At 41.8% G+C, this 14,124-nt stretch overlaps 1 protein-coding gene across 16 annotated transcripts in view; it reads left to right on the forward strand.

Annotated features, from left to right (window-relative positions):
• The window catches only part of HECW1 (HECT, C2 and WW domain containing E3 ubiquitin protein ligase 1), a 453,355-nt gene that overhangs the window by 136,972 nt on the left and 302,259 nt on the right, over positions 1-14,124 (forward strand). The gene's annotated exons all lie outside the window — the stretch shown is intronic.

Raw genomic sequence — 14,124 nt, forward strand, 5'->3', positions numbered from 1 at the left:
ACTAGGGCATGCACACTGCATAGCTATTTTCTTCAGGCAGCATGTGGCCAAAAAACATGCGTGTGTAGCTGACTGTTTTGAGCTTTGTTTATTTTAAGTACTGTATACTGAGGGATTTTGTTCAAGCAAAGGAGTACCAGCTTTATATGCAGCCACAGATGCCTCTCTTGCTTGGTAGTGCTAGATTTAGAGCTCAAAATTTTCCTTTTCAGCAAGAACTAGAAGTTCCCTAGTAGTATTTTTTCCCCTCATGCCTGTTTGCACTGTGCAGAATTCTTAGAGAACACGGCTTTGCAAATGTTCTGCGGCAGTCTCAGGATAGCACGGTATGTCAGCAGATATGGGTCCCGGGCCTGTTTGCTTAGCTATGCTTTCTTAATGCAGGTTCTTGCTTTACACGATTTCAGACAATAACTCAGTATTTTCATGATCACAGCTGAATATACGCCACGGATGGATGTGTATTTTTCTTCCTCTCTTGCAGATTTTTTTTAACCAAAACACACACACACACACGCGCACACACACATACACACACACACAGAAATACAAAATAAAACTGGATTTGGTAGCATTGTATTTGTCTTAAAATTCTGGATAGGGATTATGCTGGGTCACTCTGGTCCACAGCAGCCTCATGAACTACTCTGAATTCGATGACAGACCCTGAAATGAGGGGTCTGTGACACCAACTCAGCCTGGCTTGGATGTTGTAGATGGGAGCATGGACCAGTCATTCCTTTTCAACTGGGCCACTATTTATTGAGCGCCTACTGTGTACCAGATATAGTCAAAAAATGAGAGATACAGCTGTTAGCAAACAGGTCTCTGGCCTCCTGGAGGTTTTATTCTAGCTGTGAGAAGGAGTGTCAGAAAATGAAGAACCCACACAAGTGTAGAACACAATGTAAAGCCCTAGGAAGTGCTAAGAAGAGAGGACAGGGGAAGGAAGGTGGAGAAGAGAGCGCCAGGAACGTCCTGTGTGTACCTGCCCTGCCTTGTACTTCCGCCTCTGGGTACAATCTAAAAACCCATGCTGTCTCTCTGAACTTGCGTAAAAAAATAGCCCAGAGGTCACCAACTCATGCTCCCTTGCAAGTTTATTTTATTTGGCTGCCGGTGCTTTTTGATTTTTTAGGTTTGATTTTATTAATGATTTTTTAAATAAAAACAGGCAATTTTATGTAAAAATTCAGAATCTTAGCTTCTCTTGAAAAAAATCAAAAGCTCCTACAGTCCTGGGCCCACCCTCTGCTTAGCCACAGAGCTGAGTGAGGAGGGCCCTGTTAGGCCGGAGGGCATATGACCTTCAGATCCTCACAACTCCTACTTAGCTCACCTCCTCTGAAGGCAGCTGTGTTTTAGCCTATTTTGTTGCTGGCCCTACAATCATTCGTTACTTCTCCCAGGGCAGCAATGCTTCTGGTGTCAGGGACCCCACCCCCCTTACTGGATGGGCCCTGTGGATGCTTCCTCCTCTGGCTTTCTCTCCCAGTCATTTTATTGAGGTTTGCCTCTCCTTGAGGGCTGCAAGGGGTGGTGAAGGTGCCAAGCTATCAGAGTCCCAGGCCAAGTCACAGAAGCTGTCTGTCGAAGAATGAGCCCTGTCCTTCTGCAATCCCAGATTCCTTTTGCCTAGCCTAGTGGGACAGGGGACTGAATGTGGATGCACAAAATCTAGTTTCTTTCTTTTTTTCTTTTATTTTTTTGAGATGGAGTCTCACTCTATCACCCAGACTGGAGTGCGATAGCGCGGCCTTGGCTCACTGCAACTTCCGCCTCCCAGGTTCAAGCAATTCTCCAGCCTCAGCCTCAGCCTCCTGAGTAGCTGGGATTACCAGTGCCTGCCAACACACCCAGCTAATTTTTGTATTTTTAATAGAGATGGGGTTTCACCATGTTGGCCAGGCTGGTCTCGAACTCCTGACCTCAGGTGATCCGCCCACCTTGGCCTCCCAAAGTGCTGAGATTACAGGCGTGAGCCACCATGCCTGGCCACAAAATCTAGTTTCTTTCTACTTATTATATTCACAGGTCTAAATAGCTAAGATGCTTTTGGAGTTACGGGTTCATTACACTCCTGCCTAATTAAAACCCAGCCGATGCTCTGGTTATTTCCTCTTTTCTCCCTTATACAATTCCACCCACAAAGTCCTTCTCAGACTCTTTCTTCCCCAAATGGAATTAGCTGAAGCGCATGTTATTTTGCTCCAGTTACTGTTTATTTATTTCCATGTGGCTGTTCAGAGTAGAATGCTATTACCTGACAGGTAGGTGTAGAAATTCAGCAATCGCAAGAGGCAGTGTCATTCATCCAAGCTGGACCCAGTGCTCTGGGGGGGTACATTCCACGGGGTCCTTGGCTTGACTTGTAAGAATCTCAGCATCCAGCAGTATCCTCCTCCTGTTTCTGCTGATTCAACCAATGTTGGTCTAGAATTCACTCCCTTAACACACAGAATATTTCCAAATGTGCATCACTATCAGAACCATACACCTGCGAGCCCTCTACTCAGCATATAAGTGTTTCACTTACACTCATCACCCTTCCTTACTCCATGATAGATAATAGGTTTTTCTCTGGGCAATGCCTTCCCCTGCTACGTGGGTCTTTCAGTAGCTCACCTCTGAGCATCCTTCCCAGGTTTCTGCCCCCAGTCAGTATCCGTGTCAGTGAGGAGTTGTCTGATGCTCACTCCCAGGGCTTGTGGTTCTTCTGCTGAGAGTGGATCTCTTCATAGCTGTCTTAGGGCCATGTGTACTTACACCCAAGAACTGGCAGCTTTAGCATCACCTGGGAGCTCCAAAAAGTAAACTCCAGAGCCCACTCCAGAAATGCTGAATCAATATCTGCACTTTAATAAGATTTCCAGGTAATTCATGCAGACATTTAAGTTGGGAACACCCTGGCTTATACCATGGCCCAAGCCATGCAGAGGCTTTCACAGCTACCTCTGGGCCCATTGATCCCAGCCTCTCATTAAAAACTCCCTTCACCAATGTACAGATGTCATTTGATCATTGGTTATGAGTTCCCATAGTCATACCCACGCATTTTGTAACCTTCATCATGGATAGTTACACTCTCCATCTATAGGTAAATATAACTAGCAGTTGGCCAGACTATAAAAGATCCTTGGGGGCTAAGTCATTTATTATAAAACACCTAAATGGTTACTGGGGGAAAGTAGTCTTGCAGTGTAGTTTAACAGTAGATGTAGAATGTGGAAAAACTAATTAAAGTCAATAAAAGACAGTTGTTGTTAAATACACTGTTAACCACCAATCGAACAAGACAAAAGTGGTTAAGAGCTGACACGGGAGTCCAGTGGCCAACCTTGGTTAGAGTTCAACTTTGCTTCCAGCTGCGTAACCTTGGAGAAGTTATTTAGCCCAGTCATTTGCAAGTCTGTCTGCTCAGTAAAATCATCTGTGGAGCTTGGACATGGATTTTCAGCTGCTTGGGATTTACCTGGTTCAGTAGCTGGTCAAGGCTCAAACATCCGCACTTTAAAAAAAAAAAAAAATCCTGGTCATTTTGATGCACAGCCCGTTTCGGGAACCACTGGCAACCTCTTGGAGCCTCTCATTCCTCCTTTCTTGAATGAGGACAGTAACAGAGAAGCCTCCTGAGTTTTTGAGAGAACTGAACGGTAGCATGAAGGGAAGGAAGAGTCCTGCCACATGCCTACACATAGTTGTTGCTCACTTGTTGGTAGTGATGATGACGGTGATGACCATGGTGGTGGTGATGGCGAGGATGCAGGCTCCATTTACACACTCACTGAATAAACTCAAATCTAGCCTCCTTTATTTCTCAAATACAAGCCTTACTTTATGTACACATCTGTTTAGAAGCCCACAAACATAGATTGTCAGAATAAACCCTATTATTTTATTATGGCTGCTGATAGCTCTGTTCTAAGCTTGATTCCACCTTTTAATAACTCTGACTTAGTTTTGTTCCGTGCCTTCAGTTTTCCAAGAGCTTTAAATATATCATCAACTTTGACATTCCCTCCAATGTTAAGAGATGTGCATTGGGAGGCCGAGGAGCAGGGTGGATCACCTGAGGTCAGGAGTTCAAGACCAGCCTGGCCAATATGGTGAAACCCCATCTCTACTAAAAATACAAAAAAATTAGCCAGGCATTGTGGCAGGTGCCTGTAATCCCAGCTACTGGGGAAGCTGAGGCAGAAGAGTCGCCTGAACCTGGAAGGCAGAGGTTGCAGTGAGCCAAGATCATGCCATTGCACTCCAGCCTGGACAACAAGAGTGAAATTCCGTCTCAGAAAAAAAAAAAGACAGATATGCAGAGATATCACATGAATACATTCATTTTATAACTGAGGAAACAGGCTTAGAGAAGTGAGGGGCTTGCTTAAAGCTGCCCACTGTGCAACCTTGAGTGAGGTTTAGATCTCTGGACTCTGAGTCTGTGCTGACTGCTAGTCTTTCTATCTAAAGCTCATATTAAGGGAAATTTTCCAGGCAAATCTTGATTGACTGGTAATGAATATCCCCAGATTAGATGAACAATTGCCTGGGAAGCGTCTTTGTTTCCTGAGTCAGGCTCCAATTTAGTCTTATCGTCAGGTCTTTTCAAATCCCAGGAGACCAAACACAGAAGATCTTTTTTTTCCAGTGGAGAATCAATGACCACTGAGAGTAAAATAATGAAGCCCCACTTAAGTGAAAATAACACAGGTAATTGTTAGAGAGAAGAAATATGGCATGGCCCAGTAACTCTATATTGTAGCACTTGTATTTGCAATTTTTCATGAATTCGTTCAGGTAATTAATTTTATGAAATAATGCCAGGTGGCATGGTTCCACTTTCCCAGCCCTCCTGGAAATATCTGACTTACTAGACAAGCACTTTTACTGGAAAGTTATGTCAAGGAGTTCAGGAGAATGTACTGGAAAACACACAAATCAAACATTAAGTCAATATACAATCTGCTGACACCATACTAGCAGGAACCTCAACAAAAGCCCCCTTGCCTCCCCCACCATTGTCAGCAGAGAGTTCAGCCTTCCAGCTTTCTTAGATATGATATACGAAAGTGTATGAGGAGCCAGGAATTTCCTCAGCTGCACCTCAGTTTAATTACCATCTCTCTTCGCTTCCAGCACTGGTCGTAATGCCCAGAGAGATGGCTACTCTCTACTTTTGAAAACCACAGAACCAACTGTAACTGTATCTATCTAAACTTGTCTTTGCTAGAGTCATTTATACACCCTAACCTTCTTTTATGTCACTAGAAGAAGGGATGTTGAATCACCCCCACTAGGGGCTGCCATCTTGGTTTGCTCCCCTCATCACCTTTTCTATTGTTGACTAAGGATAGCTTTGTCATTCCTTGCTGGGCTGTGCAATAGCTACTTTACACTCAGTCCAGTGATCCATAATTACAAGTTTAGAAGAGGAAACACAATGCCCTAGTCAATTAAGACAATTAGATGTTAGAACACAAACTCTATGTTATTTAAGAATTAGGGCATCAAAAACTTGACAAGTGTGCCCAATGTGATCCAAGGAGCTAACCCAACTATGCTAATACCTCATCTGGAATTCTACTTCCAAGCAAAAGAGTTTGAAATAAAAATAGCTGGAGAGAGTCAAGTACTGTTCCAGGTACTACATTACCTTATTTTGATAACTTCAGTCACCGTTGCATAAAATAAGATTTATTCAGGCCGGGCCTGGTGGCTCATGCCTGTAATCCCAGCACTTTTGGAGGCTGAGGTGGGTGGATCACCTAAGGTCAGGAGTTCAAGACCAGCCTGGCCAACATGGTGAAACCCCCTCTCTACCAAAAATACAAAAATTAGCTGGATATGGTTGCACACCTGTAATCCCAGCTACTCAGGAGGCTGAGGCAGAAGAATCACTTGAACCCAGGAGGCAGAGGTTGCAGTGAGCCAAGATCGCACCACTGCACTCCAGCCTGGGTGACAAGAGTGAAACTCTGTCTAAAAAAAAAAAAAAAAACAAGATTTATTCAATAAATATGTATTTTTCAACAGATTTATTCATAAATATTTGTGACGTGGCTCTTCTGGGCCATGCACTGTGCCAGGTGCAGGAGATGACATGATGAGCCAAGCCAGCCCCAGCTTATTAACAGGACTCCAGTTTAGTGAAGGAGAAAAGCCATTCCACTCACAGGAAATGTGGATATTCTGAAGGGAAAGAAGACAGCTCTATGAGCATGCATGAGGGAGGAGGGAGGACTTTATTTGGACTGAAGTTAAGGAACTAAAATGTGAGTTGTAGTTAATTAGGTGAGAAGGAAGGATTTCTTTTCCTTATTATAAAAAGTTATGTCATCTGCTTCCAAGAAAATCTGACCTAATTATTTAATATGAAGAGGTATGAAAAATAAAACAAGCTAAAGTTTGTCATGGCTAAAACTGTCCTTTTAATCTTTAAAGTGTGCTGCTCACCATCTCACACACCATCTTCTATTATTGGATAGGTAACTCACGCTCTAGGTCCATAGTAGGCCCTCGTAAATGTTTTGAGATTCTTTAAGGCAAAGAATAATGATTGGCTGTTTGCTTTATCATACAATCCAAAATAGTAAATGTGAAAAGTGAGTATGTGGGTTTTGAAACTGTGTTTGTCATTGAAGATCTCATGGAGCACTGTGAAAAGGGAGCATTATAGTTCAAGCCAAGTAAAAACATAGTAAAGATGAACATCGGCTGGGTACGGTGGTTCACACCTGTAATCCCAGCACTTTGGGAGGCCAAGGCAGATGGATCACCTGAGGTCAGGAGTTCAAGACCAGCCTGGCCAACATGGTGAAACCCTGTCGCTACTAAAAATACAAAATTAGCCAGCCGTGGTGGCAGGCGCCTGTAATCCCAGCTACTCGGGAGGCTGAAGCAGGAGAATCGCTTGAACCTGGGAGGCAGAGGTTGCAGTGAGCCAAGATTGCGCCACTGCACTCTAGCCTGGGCAAAAAGAGGGAAACTTCATCTCAAAAAAAAAAAAAAAAAGAAAAGAAAAGATGAACATCAAAGTAATTTCTGATTAATAATATCATGGTGAAATACTGGAATAATTAATAAGTAGTACATTAGCTTAATGTGTGCCAAGGGAGTGATAAGATAAGTAAAAGCTACTTCACTAAAAGCAATATTTCCTAGAACAGAACCTGCTATTCTTCATCCCCCTTCTCTGCATCTGGCTTCCCCTCCCCCAACAACCTCCCTCACAAAAAAGAAAGAAAGTAAGGTATATAAACCATGTATTGACAATCACTTATTCAACTCTATTTATGCCAAGTAAGACTTAATTTTAACTTGAGAGCTAAGCATTTTAGAATATTGATACAGAAATCAGGAAACAAAAAAGAAAAATGCCCACTCTCTCTCCGTTCCCAAATTAACAGTTAGTGTCACAATGATTGTTATTAGATACTCACTCATCCTTTTCATCATTCATTCATTCATTCTGTGAGCCTTAACTGATTATTGTACTAAGGGCTGTGGGGCCACCCGAATGCACAAGACACAAAGAGATGTTCACACAAATACAGTGTATATGTTAATTAATATTCCAAAGTGAGCTATTAGTAGTTGGTCATGAAAGAGTTCTGTGGTCAAGTAAATTTGGGAAACACCAAGTTAAACAGAATTGATCTGATGTATTTGCTGCAGGACCTCTCTGAGTCTAATATGTGGCAAGAAGGGGATTTTGAAACACAGCATTTATATCACATTTTTCTAACCTATCACCTAGTAACTCATGATTAGTTGGGTACACTCTGGGAATCACTAACGTAGGCAGTAAAACAGGGTTCTGCCTTCAAGGTAAGAAGGCTGATATTAGTAAGGCAGATTAGGGCCCGAAGCAAGAGGCATGGGGTTTGGGTGGGTCAGATTCCCACTCTGATGGAGGGGTAGCAGCAAACCTCCAGTGGAGAGGAGGTGAAAAACCAAAACCAAGCACCATCCTCTAGACCAAGCAGACTTGATGGGGGATTTATTTTATTTGTGTGGTTAATGTTAACACTATTAATTATTACTAGTAAAAGCAGTGTGTTGAGGTGACCCTCAACAGAGTACCAGGAATTTTAGCACAAGGGCTAAAGAGTATAGACTCTCAGCTCAGAGTTTTTAGGTTTGTATCCATGTTTTACCACTGCTGACTTAGATGACTTGAGGCAAGTTATTTTGCCTCTCTATGTCTTAATTTATTCATATGCAATTAGAAATAAGAAGAAGAATAGTGGTATTCAGTGGGATAACATGGGTGAAGCACTCTTCACATTCCTGGCACTTGGCAGGTTTTCATTAAGTGCTCATTAATTATTAAATGCTCATTAGTCTTCCCAATCCTATGAATCTGATATTGTCTTCTCTATTTTATAGATAATAAAATTGAAAATCAGAAAGTTTAATGCGATGTTAGAATTACACAGTAAAGGCCAGGCGTGGTGGCTCACGCCTGTAATCTCAGCACTGTGGGAGGCCAAGGCAGGTGGATCACCTGAGGTCATGAGTTTGAGACCAGCCTGGCCAACATGGTGAAACCCTGTCTCTACTAAAAATACAAAAAAATTAGCCGGGTGTGGTGGCACATGGCCTGTAGTCCCAGCTACTCGGGAGGCTAAGGCATGAGAATCGCTTGAACCTGGGAGGCGGAGGTTGCAGTGAGCCGAGATTGTACCACTGCACTTCAGCCTGGGCAAAAGAGTGAGACTCCATCTCAAAAAAATAAAAAATAAAAAAAATAAAAAAATAAAAAAAAAGAATTACCCATTAAAAAGTAGTGGAGCTAGCATTCAAACCCACATTAGTTTAACCCCAAGCCCCATGTTTTTCTAGTGTAGCGTGCCAATAAAGCGACTGAGAGGCGTATGGATACCAGATTATGGAACTAATTATATATTTCATTTACAGGTAGATCCTGGTCAAGAATGTCTCCAAAACTGGATTAAGCCAGTGTACTTGAATGGGAATATAGACAACCAGGACAGACTTGGAATGTTTTTTAATGTATTGGCCCAGCAAAGCTAGAAATCCTCCACTTTACCTAACAGAAGATAATTAGAATTAAAAATGGCACTAACTGAAAACGTACTTGTTAAATTGCCTGTGCTTATAGAGTTGTTGTTGGCCCTGTCGTTTTTGGTTGGCAAAAAGAGACATATTTTTATTTGTTGGAGCTAACAGAGGCAAATGTCTTGAGTTGGGCAACAGTTACATTGCTGATGGTAGGGAATGGCTTCTGTAGGGTGAAAGCTTGGATAGAAAATCCCTACATCTAGCAGTGGGAAGTGCACCCCAGTTTGTTTTTTTTGTTTTGTTTTGTTTTGTTTTTGTTTTTACCAATTCAACTCTTAGTGAAATATGAATGATCTCTTTTACCTTAGCCCCCAGATATGGGAAAAAGTCAGCACTCTCAAGGAAAACAAAACAAACAATAGTATGCTTCAGTCTGCACTATTCTTCTACAAAAAATGTCCACTTTGGCCAGGAGCAGCAGCTCAACCTGTAATTCCAGCACCTTGGGAGGCAGAGGAGGGGGGATCACCTAAGGTTAGGACTTCGAGACCAGCCTGGCCGACATGGCGAAACCCTGTCTCTACTAAAAATACAAACATTAGCCAGGTGTGGTGGTGCATGCCTGTAGTCCCAGCTACTCAGGAGGCTGAGGCAGGAGAATCACTTGAACTCAGGAGGTGGAGGTTGCAGTGAGCTGAGATCGCAGTGCTGCGCTCCAGCCTGGGCAACAGAGTGAGACTCCATGTCCAAAAAAAAAAACCGTTCAATATATAATTTTTAGAGTTATAAAACATGGAAAGAAGCAAGATAATATGATAAATAAATAGAAAAAATACTATCAACAGAAGCAGGCCCACAGATGGATCAGATACTGGAACTAGCAGAGAAAGACTTTAAAACATCTACTGTAAATATATTCAAGGATGTTCAGAAAAAGATGGCCAGAATGAATAAATAGTTGGGGGATTACAACAGAGAAATGGGAGCCATAAAAAAGAAACAAATGAAATTCTAGAGTAAAAATAAACATCTGATGTAAATAATGGATTGAATAGGCTTAACAGCAGAACAGAAACTGAAAGAAAAGATTAGTGAACTTAAAGAATGGTTAATAGAAATTATTCAAACTAAAGCACAGGGAAAAAAAATATTTAAAAACACTTTACCCATCATCAATCAGTGACCTATTAAATGGCCTAAAATGTGAGTAGTTGCAATCCTAGAATAATGAGAGAGAGAATGGGCCAGAAAACATATTTAAAGAAATAACAGCTGAAATATATGGGATACAATGAGAAAATATCAATCTATAGATTCAAGAATCTCAGTGAATTCTAAGTAGTAGAGACACAAATAAAACCACACCCAGGCACATCATAGTCAAACTTCTGAAAACCAAAGATAAAGAAAATATAAAAGCAACCACAGGAAAAAATGATATGTTGCATATAGAGGAATAATGACAAAAAATTATGGCTGACTTCTTATCAGAACAATGAATGCCTAAAGGCAATGGAAAGGCATCCCCAGTTGAGAAAGAATTTGTGGAGGATGTATACACCATGCTCTGAGGACAGATAATAGAGGGTACAATCTGGTTAAGGGATCAAGACAGGCTTTCTGAAGAAAGAACTATCTGAACTAAGATCAGAAGCGTGAGATGTTAAGTAGGCACTGAGAAGGGAAGATGTTCCTGGTATATGCAAAGCCCCCATTGCAAAAGAAAACACTTCACGTGGAAAGACCGAAAAGTGGCAAGATAGGTGCAACACAGGGAGCAAGGAAAAGAGATGAGCCACACTAGCCATTATAGGACACAATATGGATTATTGTTTTCATTCTAAGAAAAATAAGATTTTCAAGTGTTTTAAGCTGTGCAGATCACTTCTGCTGTCATGAAGCAGCAAATTTGTGTTTGAAAAATTCTGGATAAAGTAGAGAGGCACCAGAGTAGCTGAGGAGATACCAGGAGGCCATAGGAGTGGCTCAGGTGAGAAATGATGGTGGCTTGGACTAGTTGATGGTATCTGTGAAGATGGAGAGAGGTGGACAGATGTAAGGTTGATTTAGTGATTTAGTAGATAGAAGTCATAGGACTTAGTCATTGCTTGGATGTGGGAGATGAGGGACACAGGGGTATCAAGACTGACTTGTAGGTTTCATCTAGTTGGGTGGATGAAGGTGCCATTTACTGATGAAGGAAACTGTGAAAAGGAGCAAGAATTATTTATTTTTATTCAACAAGCATTCACATAGTGCCTATTGTGTGCCAAGCACTATTCTAAGAAAGTTTGCAAACATTAACCTCTTTTACAAGAGTGAGAGGTTGGTACAATTTTTGCCCCAGTTTTACAGATGAGGAAATTAAGAAATTAATTAACTTGCCCAAAGCATTAATTGGTAAATGCTGAAGTAGGATTGGAACCCAGACAGTGTGGCTCCAGGGAACAAGTTCTTGGGCTCTGCACTAGGTTGCTTACAAGGAAGTATAATGAGGATGAGTCGCAGGAGACTGAGGCATTCAAGTGGCCATAGGGACCTGGAACTGATAAGAGAAGTTATGGCTAGTGATGAATATTTGAAAATTATTGGCATAGGAAAAGTAGTTTGTCTTGATGTAAAGAAATTGCCTTTTTTTCCCCTTAAACAGGAGCCTTATGTCTAGAGCTCCAGTTCTGTTGCTGTGCTGTGAGTAGCATCCCAAGCATGTTCTTTGAAGAGGGCAGAACCTTTTTCCTGAGGAGTATGACTTCCATGTCTTCCTCGTCGGATTTGTTCTCTTCTATTTGCTCTTTCTCACATGTTTGCTGCCCCCTAGTGGCCCTTGGAAGCTCTGCCCCAAGTGCAAGGCAGTTTAAACCCTTGGGGGTTAAATGCAGCTGGTGCAGAGTGACCTGGCTGCCCCTGGTACAGGACCGGGCAGCTCTGAACTCCAGGAACATGTGGCACGGACTCCACCCCAATTACATGGTACCTTCAGTTAAACACACGGGATAAGCACACCAGCAGGGGACAAACTGGAAAGCGTTTTGTTCTGTGACAGTGATGTTATTTACCAAGTGGCTACTGACAAAGCGAAAATTCAGATTTCAGTGGTTGCTGAATTTTGGCCATATCAATCATATCTTTATTGTGACAGTAAGGGGCCCATCAATGAGTGCTTCTGTCTCATAACAAAAGAGTAACTGGCAGGTTTTTGCTTTGTTTTGTTTTTTATTTTTTATTTTTTATTTTTTTTAATTTTTCAGTGTTACTTATTTCTTGCTTAACCAAATTAGTCAGTAAAAAATTACAAACCTGGTCCAGTGCAGTGGTTTATGCCTGTAATCCCAGCTCTGTGTGAAGCCAAGGCAGGAGAATCACTTGAGACCAGGAGTTCAAGACCAGCCTGGACAGTATGGTGAAACCCCGTCTCTACTAAAAACACAAAAATTAGCCAAGCATGGTGGAACACACCTGTAATCCCAGCTACTTGGGAGGCTGAGGCATGAGAATTGCTTGAACCCAGGAGATGGAGGTTGCAGTGAGCTGAGATTGCGCCACTACACTCCACCCTGGGTGACAGAATGAGACACTGTCTCAAAAAATATATATATATGTATGTGTGCGTGTGTGTGTGTGTGTGTATAACCTAAAGAAATCAATAAATATTGAGGCTACAAGAAAAAAGAAAACAATGGCTATAATTCATTGAATGATATCTGTATATCAGCCACTTTATAGATTTCATCTAATTTAACATTCACAGCAGCTTACAAGGTATTGATGATATTATTTCACATATGATGAAACTGAGGCTGCAGGGATAAGTCCTGGGCTTTCCCAGGACCCTATAGCTATGGAGGCAGAGATGAGATTCAGACCCAGTCTTCATGATTTTAAAACTATGTTCTTTCCCTGGTGTTATGATGCCTTCAAATGAATCTATAATTACTTACTTAGCAGTTACCTCACAAAAACTAAGCTATGAAAAGTAGTTTTCTCCTCCAAAGAGTCTTCAATGCAGTAATGAGGTTAACATGCATTCCTAGGGGGAAACAAACTATTAAAAATAATAACTTTACCATTTAAAATGCCATTTCCTCCTTTGCTTCCTCTGAATAGCTACTATAAATAGACCGGAGATGTTCTATAAGTAAAGTATACAGCCCTGGGCCACTATCCTTGTCCATTTGCACTTCCACCTTCTCCCTACTTCCCAGTCCCCAGGCCCTCCTGCCATTCAATCACATCCTCAGACTCTTACATGACACATATATGGCTTGATCTGAGTACAAGGAGGTCGCTTCCACCCATTTATGAACAGTCACATCACATGTCTGTTGAAAACAGAAGGCTACACATTTGTATGTAATAGTTATATTTAAAAGAATTGATATCAAAATGACAAGAGTGGTTATGATGGCTAGCAGGATTTTGCATAATTTCTTCTTATCTGCATTTTCCGCAATTACTTACCTGTGCGATGAAAAGAATACAGTTCAATTTCCACATTCTAAAGAGAGAAAAATTGTTATTTTTCTCAGAGAGGAAACAGGAATTTTATTGAAGCATCTAAAAGCTTCAAAACTTCAAAGATTTTTGCCTCTTAAGGACATAGAGATGGGGGTTTTCATTAACTTATTAAACACAAAAGAATTAAAGAAAATTACAAATATTCCTGTCAGCATAGCACTGCAGAACAAGCCATGGAATTGCTAAAATAATCTGAGCTCTGTTTGTTGTTGTTGTTGTTGTTTGAGATGGAGTCTCACTCTGTCACTCAGGCTGGAGTGCAATGGTGCCATCTTGGCTCACTACAACCTCCGCCTCCCAGTTTCAAGCAATTCTCATGCCTCAGCCTCCCGAGTAGCTGGGACTACAGGCGTGTGCCACTATGGCCGGCTAATTTTTATATTTTCAGTAGAGACAGGGTTTCACCATATTGGCCAGGCTGGTCTTGAACTCCTGACCTTGTGATCCGCCCGCCTCAGCCTCCCAAAGTGCTGGGATTACAGGCATAAGCCACTGCTCCTGGCCCTGAGCTCTGTTAATAGGAAGGAAAACATAAGGAGAAATACTAGGAAACAGAGAAGAAGGGAGGGAGGAAGGTGGGAAGGAGAC

Source organism: Homo sapiens, chromosome 7 (genome assembly GCF_000001405.40).
Source record: "Homo sapiens chromosome 7, GRCh38.p14 Primary Assembly".
NCBI lineage: Eukaryota > Metazoa > Chordata > Mammalia > Primates > Hominidae > Homo > Homo sapiens.